General features: G+C 48.9%; 2 protein-coding genes across 4 annotated transcripts in view, besides 3 other annotated features; one reads left to right on the forward strand and one right to left on the reverse strand.

Annotated features, from left to right (window-relative positions):
• Positions 1–10,950, forward strand: part of RAC1 (Rac family small GTPase 1) — a 29,441-nt gene extending 18,491 nt beyond the window's left edge. Inside the window, exons 4-7 of one of the 2 annotated variants that reach the window (NM_018890.4) lie at positions 5,645–5,701; positions 7,109–7,171; positions 8,851–9,010; positions 9,299–10,950. In NM_018890.4, coding sequence (NP_061485.1) covers positions 5,645–5,701; positions 7,109–7,171; positions 8,851–9,010; positions 9,299–9,429 — 411 coding nt within the window. In that variant the 3' untranslated portion in view covers positions 9,430–10,950. The remainder of the gene's footprint in view (positions 1–5,644; positions 5,702–7,108; positions 7,172–8,850; positions 9,011–9,298) is intronic. The other variant, NM_006908.5, reaches the window with a different exon arrangement.
• Positions 300–549: an enhancer, noted in NCBI's record as "active region_25621". NCBI's record gives its function as "activates an Ori minimal core promoter by ATAC-STARR-seq in GM12878 lymphoblastoid cells {active_cell/tissue: GM12878}" and the evidence as "EXISTENCE:reporter gene assay evidence [ECO:0000049][PMID:35858748]".
• Positions 3,192–3,291: an enhancer, noted in NCBI's record as "active region_25622". NCBI's record gives its function as "activates an Ori minimal core promoter by ATAC-STARR-seq in GM12878 lymphoblastoid cells {active_cell/tissue: GM12878}" and the evidence as "EXISTENCE:reporter gene assay evidence [ECO:0000049][PMID:35858748]".
• The window catches only part of DAGLB (diacylglycerol lipase beta), a 38,826-nt gene continuing 36,639 nt past the window's right edge, over positions 16,112–18,298 (reverse strand). For both annotated transcript variants that reach the window (NM_001142936.2, NM_139179.4), the window contains 2 exons: positions 17,113–17,363; positions 16,112–17,018 (listed from right to left, as the gene is read on the reverse strand). In NM_001142936.2, coding sequence (NP_001136408.1) covers positions 16,820–17,018; positions 17,113–17,363 — 450 coding nt within the window. In that variant the 3' untranslated portion in view covers positions 16,112–16,819. The remainder of the gene's footprint in view (positions 17,019–17,112; positions 17,364–18,298) is intronic.
• Positions 16,656–17,192: an enhancer, noted in NCBI's record as "H3K4me1 hESC enhancer chr7:6449304-6449840 (GRCh37/hg19 assembly coordinates)". NCBI's record gives its function as "activates a minimal SCP1, AML or CMV promoter by ChIP-STARR-seq in naive H9 embryonic stem cells {active_cell/tissue: H9 hESC(naive)}" and the evidence as "EXISTENCE:reporter gene assay evidence [ECO:0000049][PMID:30033119]".

Raw genomic sequence — 18,298 nt, forward strand, 5'->3', positions numbered from 1 at the left:
TTCCACGTTGTGCCCAAATGAGTGGAAGTTGTGTGGTGCTCAGCACACCTGGGTTGGCCGGAGGGATTGGGGTTGGGGTTGGGTTGAGGTCAGGAAGACATCCTAGAGAAAGGCTGGCTTTGAGCCCTGATTGATGATGAGGCAGCCTGTGATTGATTCAACCAGTACTTCGTTGTAGGGGGTAATATGGGTGAAATAACTTAGTGGTTAAGTCTGCTGTATTAAAAATCAGTCTATAATCCCCAGACAATTCAAATTCTTCAGTATCTTAGGAAACTCTTCTATACCCAGTGGATGTTTAATAATTCAGATTGTAAATGGATTTAAAAACATACTGGCTGGTAGAGTAGGAGACTTCAGCCCACTGGACACATGTGGAAGGGTGTGGTGTCATTCTGAGAAACAAGAGCCACCCTGCTGTGACTCAGGGGGTACCGGGCAGGGTGAGGCCTCTCTAAGGAAGGCCTCACAGTAAGTCAAGGGTGACTTGGCAGGAGTCCCACTTTGTGTTCTGAGGAACACACAGATAAGGAAAGAGAACTCTCCTCAGCTTGAACAAAGCTGTAGAGTGTGACGCCTGGTATCAAAGTAGGTGTTGTCCTCATAGGGCTAGAACTTAAACTTCATGTTTCCTCTGTGTGAGACTGTGGACTGCTTTCCTATAAAATATTTGAGGAGCAAGGAGGGAGTGGGACATGGTTCTTGCCCTCAGGTAGTTCACAGAAAAGTCCCATAAACTGTGTAAGACACCCTGTGCTAGCAAGGGGGTGAGCCGGGCGCTTAAGGAGCAAGAGGGGCGAGCACCCACCCAGCAGTGGAAGCATTCCTGTCTGGACTCCTTCAGAGATAAGGAAATTATCTTGACAACTCAGGGGCAGGCCACAGATGCTCAGATACCAGTGTCTGGAAGGTCTCATCCCTTTGAGCCACACTGTCCTAAGAAGAACTGGATCTGGTAGTAACATGCTGGCACCTGGGTCTCTTGTTGATAAAGGGGAAACCTCTAAATTTTGTACTACATGGAATGTGGTCCCTGATTGCTGGCTCTGTGGTCTGCAGACCTGTTGATGTAGCTCATCCAAGACTGCTTAGACACTCTCCTGAAGGACCAGTTGGAAGATTTCTTATCTAGGGTGTCCTAAAAAGAGATGTTACATTTCTTGTGGTCATTTAACATTGGCATCCTCTCTATTGGGCAGCTCTGTCGGGCTAAGTCTGTTCAGACCATTCATTTCTTCTTCGTTCTCCAAAAGATGGTGAGCAGGTAGTCGCCATTCTTAGTTGAAATTGCCCTTCAGGTTTTTATTTCCCGAATTACGTAATCCTTACATTATTTTCTCTTGAAAATCTTTGCTAAGTTCTGCATACTCATCTTCAGTTGCTATGCACAGAATCAAGTCTTGTCAGAGTAACGCTCAAGTCCAGCATCTTCCCTTGTGTAGATCACCTGTATTTATTTGCCTGCTTGTACCAGCATTGGTGGTGTGAGTGGGAGCCTAAGTGACCTGTCAGTGTCACAGCGAGTCCTGAGCCCTGTGTGTGTCCTGAGACTCAGGCTGTGCAGCGGGTTCGCTGAGATGCTGAGCCTCCATGTTGGGGTCAGCCAGGACCCCAGTGCGTCATGCCAGTTGTTTCATTTTCTCTCTAGGCTAAAAGTTGTTGTTGTTGTTGTTGTTGTTTGAGACAGAGTTTCGCTCTTGTTGCCCAGGCTGGAGTGCAATGGTGTGATCTTGGCTCACTGCAACCTCCGCTTCCCAGGTTCAAGTGACTTTCCCGCCCTAGTCTCTCAAGTAGCTGGGACTACAGGCATGTGCTACCATGCCTGGCTAATTTTGTTTTGTATTTTATTTTTTTTGAGACGGAGTCTTGCTCTGTCGCCCAGGCTGGAGTGCAATGGTGCGATCTTGGCTCACTGCAAGCTTCACCTCCTGGGTTCACGCCATTCTCCTGCCTCAGCCTCCCAAGTAGCTGGGACTACAGGCGCCCGCCACCACACCTGACTAATTTTTTATATTTTTAGTAGAGACGGGGTTTCACCATGTTAGCCAGGATGGTCTTGATCTCCTGAGCTTGTGATCCGCCCGCCTTGGCCTCCCCAAGTGCTGGGATTACAAATTTTGTATTTTTAGTAGAGACGGGGGTTTCTCCACTTTGGTCAGGCTGGTCTCCAACTCCTGACCTCAGGTGATCCGCCTGCCTCTGCCTCCCAAAGTGCTGGGATTACAGGCGTGAGCCACTACGCCTGGCCAGTGCTAGAGGTTTTAAAGTGGTGGGCTAGACTCCTGTGATGGTAGATAAAAAGAAAAACTGTGGTGTTCAGCTTGGCAGTTTTGAGTTTCAAAAGGCCTCAGCTTTTGTGAGGTTGGCTGTTACAAGTGCAGCCAGAGAGCACCAGGCACACACATGTGGTTCCGCAGAACTAGAGTTGTTACTCTTCGCCGCGAGGGAAACACGCACCTGGGGACTGTGGGAATTCGGCCCTCACTCTTACTGGCCGGGAGCAGGGGATATTTGGTGATTTTTGTGGTTTGTATGATGATCTTGGATTTGTCACTACTTAGAAACGATTATGAGTTGTTTTTTTTAAAGTTTACTTACTTTTGGTCCTATTTCAGCACAGTCACACAGGTGACCTTCTCTGATGTTAGTGTTCTGCGAGATTATTCTATTCAATAGTAACACCTCCACCAGGGCGAAGCTGCGAGTGCCAGGCTGGTTCTCATACGTCAGGGCTGCCTGACCCTTTTACAGGATTACAGGCGTGAGCCACTGCGCCTGGCCAGAATGTCTGTGTGTTTTAAAATTCCAAACTTGAAAGTAAAATCCAGGTGGATAGCATTTGGAAGAGAATAAAACGAAGTAGAAACAACACTACTTTTTTGTAGTGAGATCTCAGCTGTCCAGATGCCCGCCCTGTCTTACTCCATGGAAAGTGGACCCATCTGTTGTGGATGGTTCCACCAGTGGGCAGGAGGCTGTGGGAAGAGCAGCCCTGGCTACACTTACCACCGAGGAGGGAGTGGTGTGTGATGCAGGAGTAACAAAGGCGTTGAAGGCACCACGTGTGTAACAGGCACGCGGGAGTCTGGGTTAGTCAGAAAGGGGAAAGCAGTGCTCAGGTTGACTGGAAACATAGGCCGGTGACCGGAGACAGCCTGAGGCTCCAGAACACACAAGTGACCTGTGAGGAAGGAAACTGAGAGACCCTGGAGAGACACCGGTGGTGCCCTCTCAGGTCCTCTTGAGTGTTACGAGGACGGGGAAGAAATAGAGCCTCCCAGCCAGGGTCAGCCAGCACAGCCTCTGTATGTGAAGCGTCAGGACAGCGACGGCCGGGAGGAGGGGATGCTAGGAAGTGAGTACCAGAAGCACTAGACAGGGTTTTGGGAAGCTATATTTAGCTGGGGACGAAGAAGGAACAAGGAAGGAACAGGCAGATGGCATAGCACGAACGCCGGGTGGAAAGTGGAACTGCTCGCTCCTGTCGTGTGTGTCTCTTCTCCATCAAAAAAGAGGCTCTTAAAAATCGAAAGCATGCCACAGATACGATCAGAGGCTCTTTGGAAGCTGCATTTTTGTAACTGGTTCTCGATGATCCTCTCCCATGGTAAAGATTTGGCACCATATGAAGTCCTTGGGAGGACAAATCTTCAACAGTAGCCCATAGATGAAACCCAGATAGCTGTGGAAACTAATGTGCTCTTTGAATGTTAAGTCAGGAAAGCTTGAGTGGCCTGGCACGGTGGCTCACGCCTGTAATCCCAGCACTTTGGGAGGCCGAGGTGGGCGGATCACGAGGTCAGGAGATCGAGACCATCCTGGCTAACACGTTGAAACCTCGTCTCTACTAAAAATACAAAAAATTAGCCGGGCGTGGTGGCGGGCACCTGTGGTCCCAGCTACTCGGGAGGCTGAGGCAGGGAGAATGGTGTGAACCTGGGAGGCGGAGCTTGCAGTGAGCCAAGATCGTGCCACTGCACTCCAGCCTGGGCGACAGAGCGAGACTCCCTCTCAAAAACAAAAAAAAAAAAAAAAAAGAAAAGAAACCCCGTCTCTACTAAAAATACAAAAAATTTAGCTGGGCGCAGTGGCGGATACCTGTAGTCCCAGCTACTGGGGATGCTGAGGCAGGAGAATGGCGTGAACCCGGGAGGTGGAGCTTGCAGTGAGCCGAGATCGCGCCACTGCACTCCAGCCTGGGCGACAGAGCGAGACTCTGTCTCAAAAAAAAAAAAGAAAAAAAAGAAAAAAAGAAAAGCTTGAGTGAGATGAAATTAAAATAATTTTCTCATTTTGAGACAGGGTCTCGCTCTGTCACCCAGACTGGAGTGCAGTGTCACAATCTCGCCTCACTGCAACCTCCACCTCCCGGGTTCAAGCAGTTCTCTGCCTCAGCCTCCCGAGTAGCTGGGATTACAGGTGCCTGCCACCATGCCCGGCTAATTTTTTGTATTTTTAGTAGACACAGGGTTTCACCATCTTGGCCAGGTTGGCCTTGAACTCCTGACCTCGTGATCCACCTGCCTCGGCCTCCCAAGGTGTTGGGATTAGAGGCGTGAGCGCTTTTCTTAAAAGAGTTCCAGGGTTCTATGTTGGAAGAGCGAGTTTGTCAGTTTTTATTGGAACAAAGAAATGAATTGACAGCATTGTGATAAACACTGGAAGTGTCACTTCTAAAATTTGTCCATGGCTGAAAGTGGTGGCTCATGCCTGTAATCCCAGCACGTTGGGAAGCCAAGGTGGGTGGAGCACCTGAGGTCAAGAGTTTGAGACCAGCCTGGCCAACATGGTGAAACCTGGTCTCTACTAAAAATACAAAAAATTAGCTGGGCGTGGTGGTGTGTGCCTGTAGTCCCAGCTACTTGGGAGGCTAAGGCAGGAGAATCGCTTGAACCCAGGAGGCAGAGGTTGCAGTGAGCTGAGATCTCACCATTGCACTCCAGCCTGGGCAACAGAGCAAGACTCCGTCTCAAAAACGCTTGTCCTTAAGGGGTGGCTTCCCCCAGACCTACAAAGTAGCCCAGAATTGGAGGTCTTAGTGTCAGCAACAGTGCTGATTTTGATAATGCAAGTCTGTACATTCAAACCAGTCTCCCAGAACTAGGTGGAAGATAGGAACATTTCTGCATAGGAGACTTGGAATGTTCTGGCAGCATTAAAACCCTGAGGCCCGGCTATGTTCTGGGAGAGCCCTTTGGCAGGCATCATTTACAGACGGGTCCTTTTCCTGTATGCTGTGGCTTCAACTAGGCTGTGTCTGAGAACTCGGATGGAGCACTTGAAAGTGCCCGTGGCTCCCGCCTGCCTTTGCGGTAAGGGACAGTGCAGAACATCTCCGGCTGTGCCAGCTGTTGTAGATTCTGGTGGGTGCTGCCATGGGAGGAGGAGCACGTTGTTGCCCCCCCTCAGGATCTCCCTGACCTCTGTCTTCACCATCGTTGAACTTAACGCCTGCTTTTGACCAGGTAGCGTGGAGTGTTTCAGTGGCATTTGTCATCGAAGATATGTTAGAATCTATTGTATGCTTTTGGATCTCTCCGGAGGGTTAAGACAAAATTCTAATAAAGAATCGATAAGAGGTTATATTGATTTTTGTTGTCCTCAGTCTGTACTAAACTCAAACCAAGTTCTCATGCATTACTAGGTTGGAGAAACGTACGGTAAGGATATAACCTCCCGGGGCAAAGACAAGCCGATTGCCGTATGTAAAACTTTCAGTCCACTTCAGTTTCAAGCTTTCTCTGTTCTCTCATTTCACTTCGTTTTCCTAGGATTTTTTATTAAGCCTCAAGCTCCTTGAGTGTTTTATATTTAATTCACTCAAGGTTGGGGTTTTGCTTGATGAAATAAACTTCATTAGAGTGTGATAGTTTACCCACCGGCTTGAATTAAAGCAGTTTGTGAACTGTGATCTTCTCCTCCCAAGTGAAAGGAGGGGACAGTGAGAGGGCCCCTCTCCTGGCTGGTTGGAGATGCAGATATGGAGACTCCTCCCGGAAGCCCACCTGGCTGTGAGCCGAGCCGGAGCAGGACTAACCTTGTTGCCGGGGCCTTCTTTCTCCGCTTGGGTGTCCCGTGTGGTGGGGCTGTCTGGGCGTGGCTGTGCAGTGCTGCTGAGCTAACCCCACCGTGCTTGAGATGGTGTGCTGGGTGCCGCGGTGATTCTTGGACGAGCTTGTGCATGCGCCAGCATTCTTCAAATGCCAGTTATAAAAAGCTGTTGTGTGGGATGTTTCTTTCCCTTTCAGGTACAAGGTATCAGCTGGAGGGTTGAAAGTGTAGCTTGGGAATTGTGTGCATTTCATAAAGTAGCATAATTGCCTTTTTCCAGGAGAATATTTTAGAAATCTAGCATTTTAGAATTCTTGGGCATTTTTAAATACAGGTGAATATTTGAATTTGGTTTGACACAAAATACAGAATGGATGAAGCATGCAGATGTTTGGCGTGTGCCCCGAAGCACCCTCTACTCTGTCCTCTGCACCCACCCTTTGCGCCTCTGCGTCAGCCACAGCTGCCCCGGGAGCGAGTTCTCCTGAGGCCCTGGCTGTGCTGACTCTAGGGCAGCGTGAGGGTGGTTGTCAGCTGTGAAGGTGCCACTTACACACTAAGTCCTCCTTCCTTGTGGAGGGAAGGGCTCAAGTAGCAAATATTGGAGCCCCCGCTTGGTGCTGGGAGCTGTGACAGGCAGCTCCTGAAGAAGCAGTTTAATTGGAACCAGTGACCATCTAAAACTGTTTGTACTCTAAACCAGATTTTACAGAAATATTGGAATCATACCTTTATACTTGATTTTTTCATTTTAGATAGTTAGGCGTAAAGGAAGCCTCCTGAGGGTCTGGTCTGATCCTCCTGATCCTTGAAGAGCTTCCAGCATCATTCTCCCTTCATGCTCCCCATTTTCATAAGTAACTGGTGGCTTGACATGCTGGGTTTGGTTTGGGAGCCCTCTGACAAACTGAAAGGGTGGATCAGGAAGCGTCTGACCACACCACTGGTAGACACGCTCTGCGTCCAACAAGTCCTTCCCAGCAACATGTAGAAAGCAAAGTGCATGCTTCATTCTAAGGTTGTTGTCTAAATGTTTCCCTGTGTTTCCTTTTTGTAGGATGTGTTCTTAATTTGCTTTTCCCTTGTGAGTCCTGCATCATTTGAAAATGTCCGTGCAAAGGTAGGTGGGGATTTAAAATGTGTATGTAAGTTATAGAATGATCCTCTCAGAAATAAATACTTTAAAATATCACTTAGCCTAGGAATTTTTAGTTATTTAAATTGGTTTTAGCAATTTGCTACTTAAGTACATGATTGGGTTTTTTTTTTTCTTTTGAGACGGAGGTCTCACTCTGTTGTGTCCAGGCTGGAGTTGTAGTGGTGACATCAGAGCTCACTGTAGCCTTGAACTCCTGGGCTCAAACAGTTCTCCTGCCCCAGCCTCCTGAGTTGCTGGGACCATAAATGTGCACCACCATGCGTGGCTAATCTTAAAAGAATTTTTGTATGGCTGGTTTTGTAGACCCTGGCTTGTCTCAAACTCCTGGGTTGAAGTGATCTTTCAGCTTCAGCCTCCCAAAGTGGTGGGATTATAGCTGTGAGCCACTGCATCTGGCCCATCAGCAGTTTATTTTATTTATTTATTTTTGAGAGAGTCTTTTTTTTTGTTTTTGTTTTTGTTTTTGAGATGGAGTTTCACTCTTGTTGCCCAGGCTGGAGTGCAGTGACGCAATCTTGGCTCACTGCAACTTCCGCCTCCTGGGTTCAAGTGATTCTCATGCCTCAGCCTCCCGAGTAACTGGGATTACAGGCATGCACCACCACGCCCGGCTAATTTTGTATTTTTAGTAGAAATGTGGTTTCTCCACGTCAGTCAGGCTGGTCTCGAACTCCCGACCTCAGGTGATCCGCGCGTCTCGGCCTCCCAAAGTGCTGGGATTACAGGCGTGGGCCACCGTGCCCGGCTGAGACAGAATCTTGCACTGTCATCCAAGCTGGAGTGCAGTGGCACAATCTTGGGTCACTGCAACCTCCCCCTCCCGGTTCAAGCAATTCTCCTGCCTCAGCCTCCTTAGTAGCTGGGATTACAGGTGCCCGCCAACACACCTGGCTAATTTTTGTACTTTTAGTAGAGACGGGGTTTCACCATGTTTGCCAGGCTGGTCTCGAACCCCTGGCCTCAAGTGATCCACCCGCCGCAGACTCCCAGAGTGCTGGGATTTCAGGTGTGAGCCACTATGCCCGGCCTAATACGTGGATTTTTAAAGCTTCAGGTTCTGGTTCAGAAGTTTCCTGGGTCTCATTAAAATAATGAGGCACTCAGAATTGGTCTAATAAAAATAACGACCATTTCTTTCTACTCCAGTCTCTTTCACAAACTTCTTAGTGAAAATGACAAGTGAGGCCCTTCAGTAGGGGCATTTTCAGTGGAGATAATAGCGGCAGACCTGAGACCTTGGGCTAGGTAGTTTATTCTCATTTCTGAACAGATGATGAATTTTCTCAGATGACCCTAAGAAATTGTTTTACCAAAAACAAAGTGATCTATTTGCTTTGGGAGGAACTCCCTTCCTTTTGTTTCTCTTCCCTTCCCCCCTTCCCCTGCGGTTGTAGAGCCCGTTCTGTCCGGTCGTGGTTCTGTCCAGCCATGATCCGGGAGTCCTAGCTTGCTAATGGAACACCTGAGATGTTCCTTATGGCTCAAGGCTTGAATTGAAGGTGGGAACCACCTGAAGCCTCCGTGGGGAGGCCTTGCCTGAGGTTAGGTGTCTGGCATGAGTGCCGCCGGCTGGGTGTGATTTAGGTGAAGGACATCTGTAAAGGAGCGTGTCACAACCTCTGTTCCTTCTTCACATCTAGTGGTATCCTGAGGTGCGGCACCACTGTCCCAACACTCCCATCATCCTAGTGGGAACTAAACTTGATCTTAGGGATGATAAAGACACGATCGAGAAACTGAAGGAGAAGAAGCTGACTCCCATCACCTATCCGCAGGGTCTAGCCATGGCTAAGGAGATTGGTATGGAATCCTGTGTTTTTCCTCCTCCTTGTACCTCTTTTATTGTAGTGACAGAGACTGGAGTCCAGTCTGGGAAAGGAGGGTGTGTGTCTCCCACTCAGGGCCTGGTGTACTCTTGGGGAACCAGCTGGCAAGGCCCTGTGGGTCTTAACGTCAGCGTTGGAAGGTGGAAGCAGGGCTGGGAGCCGGCAGAAGGCGCCCGGGCCCCAGGAGCTGCCTCCCGCTGGTGGTGTGATCAGAAGAGAGTGGGGTCGAGTGTACATTGCCGTGTGGTCGTGTTTCCTGTAGGTGCTGTAAAATACCTGGAGTGCTCGGCGCTCACACAGCGAGGCCTCAAGACAGTGTTTGACGAAGCGATCCGAGCAGTCCTCTGCCCGCCTCCCGTGAAGAAGAGGAAGAGAAAATGCCTGCTGTTGTAAATGTCTCAGCCCCTCGTTCTTGGTCCTGTCCCTTGGAACCTTTGTACGCTTTGCTCAAAAAAAAACAAAAAAAAAAAACAAAAAAAAAAAACAACGGTGGAGCCTTCGCACTCAATGCCAACTTTTTGTTACAGATTAATTTTTCCATAAAACCATTTTTTGAACCAATCAGTAATTTTAAGGTTTTGTTTGTTCTAAATGTAAGAGTTCAGACTCACATTCTATTAAAATTTAGCCCTAAAATGACAAGCCTTCTTAAAGCCTTATTTTTCAAAAGCGCCCCCCCCATTCTTGTTCAGATTAAGAGTTGCCAAAATACCTTCTGAACTACACTGCATTGTTGTGCCGAGAACACCGAGCACTGAACTTTGCAAAGACCTTCGTCTTTGAGAAGACGGTAGCTTCTGCAGTTAGGAGGTGCAGACACTTGCTCTCCTATGTAGTTCTCAGATGCGTAAAGCAGAACAGCCTCCCGAATGAAGCGTTGCCATTGAACTCACCAGTGAGTTAGCAGCACGTGTTCCCGACATAACATTGTACTGTAATGGAGTGAGCGTAGCAGCTCAGCTCTTTGGATCAGTCTTTGTGATTTCATAGCGAGTTTTCTGACCAGCTTTTGCGGAGATTTTGAACAGAACTGCTATTTCCTCTAATGAAGAATTCTGTTTAGCTGTGGGTGTGCCGGGTGGGGTGTGTGTGATCAAAGGACAAAGACAGTATTTTGACAAAATACGAAGTGGAGATTTACACTACATTGTACAAGGAATGAAAGTGTCACGGGTAAAAACTCTAAAAGGTTAATTTCTGTCAAATGCAGTAGATGATGAAAGAAAGGTTGGTATTATCAGGAAATGTTTTCTTAAGCTTTTCCTTTCTCTTACACCTGCCATGCCTCCCCAAATTGGGCATTTAATTCATCTTTAAACTGGTTGTTCTGTTAGTCGCTAACTTAGTAAGTGCTTTTCTTATAGAACCCCTTCTGACTGAGCAATATGCCTCCTTGTATTATAAAATCTTTCTGATAATGCATTAGAAGGTTTTTTTGTCGATTAGTAAAAGTGCTTTCCATGTTACTTTATTCAGAGCTAATAAGTGCTTTCCTTAGTTTTCTAGTAACTAGGTGTAAAAATCATGTGTTGCAGCTTTATAGTTTTTAAAATATTTTAGATAATTCTTAAACTATGAACCTTCTTAACATCACTGTCTTGCCAGATTACCGACACTGTCACTTGACCAATACTGACCCTCTTTACCTCGCCCACGCGGACACACGCCTCCTGTAGTCGCTTTGCCTATTGATGTTCCTTTGGGTCTGTGAGGTTCTGTAAACTGTGCTAGTGCTGACGATGTTCTGTACAACTTAACTCACTGGCGAGAATACAGCGTGGGACCCTTCAGCCACTACAACAGAATTTTTTAAATTGACAGTTGCAGAATTGTGGAGTGTTTTTACATTGATCTTTTGCTAATGCAATTAGCATTATGTTTTGCATGTATGACTTAATAAATCCTTGAATCATACGACTGGTAATACTGGTGTTTTTGAGACTTGATGAACAAGTTCCTGGTGTGTGTTTGTTTGCCTTGCTTTAAAGTCCTGGGTTGTTGGAGACAGTCATTTTCAATGCGTGTCTCCACACAGGAGGGACAGGGAGTGCCACCTCCAGGGGAGAACTGGGTGAGCCCAAATACGGCAGGAGTGGAGGTGACATTCATGTTTGGACCTGTCGAACAGTGGCGAAGCTCTGAGGGAGAAGCGCCTATCGGGGTGTGTGTGCACATCCTGGCCCAGAGCTAGGGGCTGAAGATGGAGATGTTGGGACCCTAGACTGGCCCTGGAAGAGTAGAGGTTGGTGAACCACATGCCCTTAAGATCCTTTCCAGAGGCTGAGTGCGTGGCTTACGCCTCTAAGCCCGACGCTTTGGGAGGCTGACACAGGAGGAGCGCTTAAGCCCAGGAGTTCTAGACCAGCCTGGACAAGAAAGAGACCTACCCAAAAAAAAAATGCAAGAGCCTGAACTTGTACTACATAAAGGTTCATGTTAGAATTCGTTTTCTTAATATTCCTTTTTATTGCTTTGAAGATTGTTTTTGAGTTTTTGTTTTTTTTTTAAGATGGAGTTTTGCTCTTGTTGCCCAGGCTGGGAGTGCAATGGTGTGATCTCGGCTCACTGCAATCTCTGCCTCTCGGGTTCAAGCGATTCTCCTGCCTCAGACTCCCGAGTAGCTGGGATTACAGGTGCCTCCCCCCACGCCTGGCTAATTTTTTGTATTTTTTCACCATAGTTTCACCATGGCCAGGCTGGTCTTGAACTCCCAACCTTAGGTGATCTGCTCGGCCTCCCAGAGTGCTGGGATTAAAAGCGTGAGCCACCGCCTCCAGCTGAGTATTTTTTTTTTAAACAGATATAAATAATGCAGATTTTGTTTTTTGAGATAAGATCTGGCTCTGTCTCACAGGCTGGAGTGCAGTGGCGTGATCTTGGCTCGCTGCAACCTATGCCTCCTGCACTCAAGCCATCCTCCCACTTCAGCCTCTGGAGTAGCTGGGACCACAGGTGCGCACCACCACACCCAGCTAATTTTGTGTGTATTTTTTGTAGGGTTTTGCCATGTTGGCCAGGCTGGTCTTGAACTCCTGAGCTCAAGCAATCCACCAGCCTCGACCTCCCAAAGTGCTGGGACTCCAGGTGTGAGCCACCAGCCTCGACCTCCCAAAGTGCTGGGACTCCAGGTGTGAGCCACCATACCTGTCAATATGCAGTTTTTAAAAGTAAAAGTTTTAGTGGTTTCTAAAGAAAAACACTTCCCCCTTCGTAGCCTCTCCAGAAGGAATACTTTGTTTGCTTACCTGATTTTTGGTATTTTACCTGCTGTGTCTAAATTAGGCTTTTTGTTCCAGTGTAACTTCTGAGTTCAGCCATTCTCATCGACATTCCCAGCATGGACGATGAGAGGCTTGCTTTCCCGCTTGTAGCCCTCTCCACCCAAAACCTTTCTCATCCCCTCAATCTGATGGTTTTGGTGGACTCAGTTTAGTGCCGGCATGATCACTACTACATAAACTACTCACTGGCCTTGCCATGTAGCAACAAAACTGTGTTTCCTGCAGAACTTCTGGTTTTCTTTGGGATAATTAGTACTTTGCTTACTTTCCTATGTACTGAATTCAATTGTGAACTTTTTTTTTTTTTTTTTTTAAGGAAGGGTCTTGCTCTGTCACCCAGGTTGGAGTGCAGTGGTGCCATCACAGCTCCTAGGCTCAAGTGATCCTCCTGCCCTAGCCTCCTGAGTAGCTGGGACCACAGGTGTGTGCAACCATGCCCGGCTAATTTTTAAAATGTTTAGTAGAGTTGGGGGGGGGGGGTCTCCCTGTGTTGCCTAGGCTGGTCTTGAACTCCTGGCCTGAAGCCACCATTCCACCTCAGCCTCCCAAAGTGCTGGGATTACAGGTATAAGCCACTGTGCGCGGCCTCAGCTGTGAACTTTCATCTATTGTCTAAACCTCTCAAGATATTCAGATGTGTTGTTATTTTGCCAATACCCATTTTCCTGGAGTCATCTGATCTGCACCTCTCTTAGGTGCTGGTCTTCATTTCCTGCATCCACATTCCCTTTTTTGATTTACTTCATCCTGAATGGTTTCTCCAAGAAATCCCTTGAGAGAGTTGGAAGTACGTAGTCATGCACTATGTAATGACATTTTAGTCAACAGTGTATTGCATGTATGATAGTGTGTGACTGCACCTTATTTTTACTGTACCTTTTCTGTGTACAGATACGCAAATACCACTGTTAGAACTCCTGTTGCATTCAGTATAGTAACAGGCTGTGCAGGTGAGTAGCCTGGGAGCAATGAACAGGCCCTACCTTTGACCCAGGTGTGTAGTAGGCTGACATTAACAATGAAATCACCCGCGTGTTTCTCAGAATGTATACCCATCGTTAAGTAAGGCATCACTCTTATTTTTGAGCCCCTGCATCTTTGAAAACAACTGTTGTACATTACTTCTGGCTGGGCCTAAAATTCTAGGTTGGTGTGAACATCCCTTTTAAGTTATATTTTTGGGACAGGGTCTCACTTTGTTACCCATGCTGGAGTGCAGTAGCATGATCTCAGCTTACTGTGGCCTCAACAACCTGGGCTCAAGCAGTCCTGCTCAGCATCCTGAGTAATAGGGACTACAGGTGTGCACCACCATGCCCAGCTAATTTTGTTTTGTAGAGATGGGATCTGACTATGTTGCTTAGGCTGCAGATTTCTTCTTTTGAGACAGGCTCTTGCTATGTTGACCAGGCTTAGACTCAAACTCCTGGGCTCAAGTGATCCTCCCACTGCAGGCTCTCAAGTAGCTGGGACTACAGGCTTGGCCCACTGCACCCAGCCTCCCTTCGGTTAAAAAAATTTATTTTTGGCCAGGCGCAGTGGCTCATGCCTGTAATCCCAGCACTTTGGGAGGCCAAGGTGGACAGATCATTTGAGGTCAGGGGTTCGAGAGCAGCCTGGCCAACATGGTGAGACCGTCTCTACTAAAAATACAAGAATCAGCCAGGCGTGGTGGTGCACGCCTGTAATCCCAGCTACTTAGGAGCCTGAGGCAGGAGAATTGCTTGAACCTGGGAGACGAGGTTGCAGTGAGCCAAGATCGTGCCACTGTGCTCCAGCCTGGGTGGCAATAGTGAGACGCCCATCTCAAAAATTTTTTTTTTTTTTTTTTAAGAGATGGGGTCTTGCTGTGTTGCCCACACTTGTCTTGAGCTCAAGCAATCCTCCCACTTTGGCCTCCCAAAATGGAATGATTACAGGCCTGAGCCACTGCACCTAGTCCCTTCAGAATTCTGAGGGCAGTTCTTCCATGATTTTTCTTAGCCATTTCTGTTGGGATGTATTTTTTTCTTGTGAGATTGTCCTTTTCTCTTCCACATCCTAGGGTTTCTTTTATCCACCGTGCTGTGCGCTTGATGGCCTCTTTCCGTCTTGGAAACTCGTGACTTTCAAACTCAGATGTCAGACCTGGAGTGTCCTCGTAACCTTTTTCTTTTCCTGGTTTGTTATCTTTGAGCTTTTGATTTTGTCTGATGCTTTTCATCTTCAGGAGCTCTTTTCCACTCTCCCCACTGTGGGCCTTCAGGGTCAGTTCTGAGTCACAGCGCTTTCTCTGAGTCCCAAGCCATAGCATGGGTCATTAGGAGGCTTCTGTCCACATCATGTTTCTTTTGGTGTCTTGTTCCTCTAGTGTCAGGAGTCCTTGGCTCATGCTTAAAAGTTGAAGTTGGAAGCAGTTCCCTAGGAGGGTCACACCATGTAGCGAGTCCATCTTGTACCTTTCTGACACTAGGTGAGTGCAGGAATTGGGTTTAGAAACAAAGCTTGTAGCAGTTGGACGCTGCTACTGTTTTTTTTTTTTTTTTTTTTTTTTTTTTTTTTTTTTTTTTGAGACAGTCTTGCTCTGTCGCCCAAGCTGGAACGCAGTGGCACGATCTCGGCTCACTGCAGCCTCTGCCTCCTGGGCTCAAGCCATTCTCCTGCCTCACCTCCCGAGTAGCTGGGATTACAGGTACCTGCCACCACGCCTGGCTATGTATTTATTTATTTATTTATTTATTTTTTTGAGGCGGAGTCTCGCTCTGTTGCCCAGGCTGGAGTGCAGTGGCATGATCTCAGCTCACCGCAACCTCCGCCTCCCAGGTTCAAGCGATTCTCCTGCCTCAGTCTCCTGAATAGCTGGGGCTATAGGTGCACACCACCACACCTGGCTAATTTTTGTATTTTTAGTAGAGACGGGTTTCACCATGTTGGCCAGGCTGGTCTCGAACTCCTGACCTCAGGTGATCCGCCCACTTTGTCCTCCCCAAAGTGCTGGGATTACAGGCAAGAGCCACTGCGCTCAGCCTGCTACAGCATTTCAATTCAAGTTAGACTTATTTCTGTGAGACAGGGTCTTACTCTGTCACCCAGGCTGGAGTGCAGTGGCATGACCGCAGCTCACTGCAGCTGTGAACCCCTGGGCTCAAGTGTCCGCCTGCCTCAGCCTCCCAAAGTGCTGGGATTACAGGTGTGAGCCACTGCGCCTGGCTTGAAGTTTTTAAAGAGCCCTTTGCAGGCTTTACAAAGCTCTAAGGTGGCATGGCTGTGACAGCAGAGAGGCCCCAAGGAGGTGTCTTCTGAGGTCAGATTTCCCGGGAGAATCTTCTCCTTGAAGACTTGGGAGCCAGGAGGGGCACAGTCTCCTTCCCTCAACTGCTTGTGCCCAGGCCCCACCTTCCACCTCAGAGCAAACGACAGGCCAGGTTTCTTCCCGCTTTCCAGCATACCTGCTCTTTAGCTGGGCGTGTCTGCATCACTCCCACTTCACAGCTGCCCAGGGTCTTGTAAGCTGGGGTCAGTTCATGTCTTTCCTTCCCCCTTAAGGTTCTGTACTGTGCGTCCTCTGACTGTTGTTGGAGTGTCTTTTCCCATCCTGTGGGTCTCTGCTTTTTTGGAGAAATCTCCCTCCTGTCATTCTGTTGGGCTTCCGGTGGGAGAGGGGGTGAAATCAGTGCTTGGGCAATCTTCCATCTGTAGCCAGAACCCCAGGGTTTAAAAAAAACGTGGAAACATCATTGCTCTACAACCACCCAGTATAGTAGCGCTACCTGGAAATCCCCAATAAGAGAGCACGCAGCTGTACACACAAGCACTATGGTGACGCGCGCTTTATTGTTTCAACTCCTGAATCCACTGGCCGACCCCAGAGCCAGAAGAGTAGCAAGAATTCAATCAGCAACTCCTGATGTGGACAAACAACTGGGCAGTGGGAATAGGCAGTTGGGGGGCTGTGGCTCGGCGGGGCCGGGGGCTCCACTTACTTTCCCGATCGGGTTTCGTCTTCATCCCCAGCCAGAGCCCAGGGCTGCCCTTGGTGACGCCCAGGAGAAAACCCCAGCCCGCACCCTCACCACAGTTCCATTTGTACATCCAGGAAGCCCAGTTTGAAAAACAAACCACGCCTGTAAACTGAGTTGGATGAAAAGAGCTGCCTTGGGGGTGGGAGGCTAAGGAACTGTTCACGGTCTTCTGGGTGGGCCCTGGATTCCCGCACTTCTGGAGCAGTCCTCAGACAGCCAAGGGATCCATCCACGGGCCAGGGCTTCCCGAGGCTGTCTCCACGGTCGCTGGGTCTCAGGAGTCGTCCTATCACCTGAGCGTGCTCACTACTTCTGCTACCATTATGGCCACAATGACTTCCCATAAACTTAAGTCATTGAGACCATGGAATTCTGTTCCCATCCGATTCCTGTTGATGGACATTCGCTGTTTTGGCGTCATGGGAACTCCTCGGATGGTAAGTCAGTTTAAGGACAAAAGCGTGAGTCCATCGTTCCTGGGACAGTTTCCAGTGGCCCTGGTCAGGCCACGTCCACACTGGAGACCCCTTGTGCTGGACAGGAGACGCAGGCCGCTCTGTCGGAGACCACGCTGTCCAAGGCCCGCATCAGGATGTCTGGCATGTGGTCGGTGAGCATCTTCGGACCTATGAGTATTTTGCTGAATTCCGCTTCGTGTGACCACTTGGCGCTATAGTGAGCAGCAGAGCAGCAGCCAAACCTGAAGCAGAAAAGGAGAGACAGCTCCCACGCGGCCCCAGGGCTGACCCCGCGCTGCTCCTGCCTGCCCACCACACCCACCACGCCGCACTCACCGCCCCGAGGCGCCCTCCTCCTGCAGGTGGATGATCCTGCCGGGAGGGTAGAGAGGGGGGTACTTGGGAGAAGAGTCCAGTGGGGAGTCGCTGGAGAAGCTGTAGGCCGGGGACCAGCGCGTCAGTAGGCTCTGCTCCCCCAGAAGAGGCTGTGTCAGGACTTCCTGGTCGCCCCCGTCCAGCTCCGTGGGCAAGTTGTTGGGGTTTCCTCCAAACAGTTCGTACCACAAACCGTGCAGCAAGATCTTGTACTGAGGGCGAGACCCAATCAGTAGAATGCTGTCACTCACCCTCTGTCACCCGAGACCTCCCGAAACACCAAGGCGGACCAGGCACAGGAATCTGCCCTTTGACCCAGAAACCCCGCTTGGAAGACTCCAGCAAAGATGCACCGGCGAGCTGTGCTGGGTGGCAGCCACCTCGGCTCAGGACAAGGCTCTATGCCTAGTCACAGATCATGAGTGTGGGCTCTCTCTTGGGCAGTAAAACCATCACACGTGGAGCAATATTAAAAACTAAGCCATACAGACTGTGAGGGATATTTCCCTTAATTATTTTCCGGCAATTCTGGAAATCAGCTTTACCCTTCCTTCCCTGAAAGGCATTAGATATTAATTTCTATGGGCTGGAGCGCAATGGCGTGATCTTGGCTCCACAATCTGCCTCCCGAATTCAAGCGATTCTCCTACCTCAGCCTACTGAGTAGCTCGGCTTACAGGCTCCTGCCACCATGCCCGGCTAATTTTTTGTATTTTTTTTTTTTTTTTTTTTTTGAGACGGAGTCTCACTCTGTTGCCCAGGCTGGAGTGCAGTGGCACAATCTTGGCTCTCTGCAAGCTCCGCCTCCCGGGTTCACGCCATTCTCCTGCCTCAGCCACCAGAGTAGCTGGGACTACAGGCACCCGCCACCGCACCCGGCTAATTTTTTGTATTTTTAATAGAGACGGGGTTTCACCGTGGTCTCTATCTCCTGACCTCGTGATCCACCCGCCTTGGCCTCCCAAAGTGCTGGGATTACAGGCGTGAGCCACCGCGCCCGGCCTAATTTTTTGTATTTTTAGTAGAGACGGGGTTTCTCCATGTTAGTCAGGCTGGTCTCGAACTCCCGACCTCAGGTGATCCACCCACCTCAGCCTCCCAAAGTGCTGGGATTACAGGCGTGAGCCACCGGGCCCGCCCTAGATAC

The sequence above is a fragment of the Homo sapiens genome, chromosome 7, assembly GCF_000001405.40.
Source record: "Homo sapiens chromosome 7, GRCh38.p14 Primary Assembly".
NCBI lineage: Eukaryota > Metazoa > Chordata > Mammalia > Primates > Hominidae > Homo > Homo sapiens.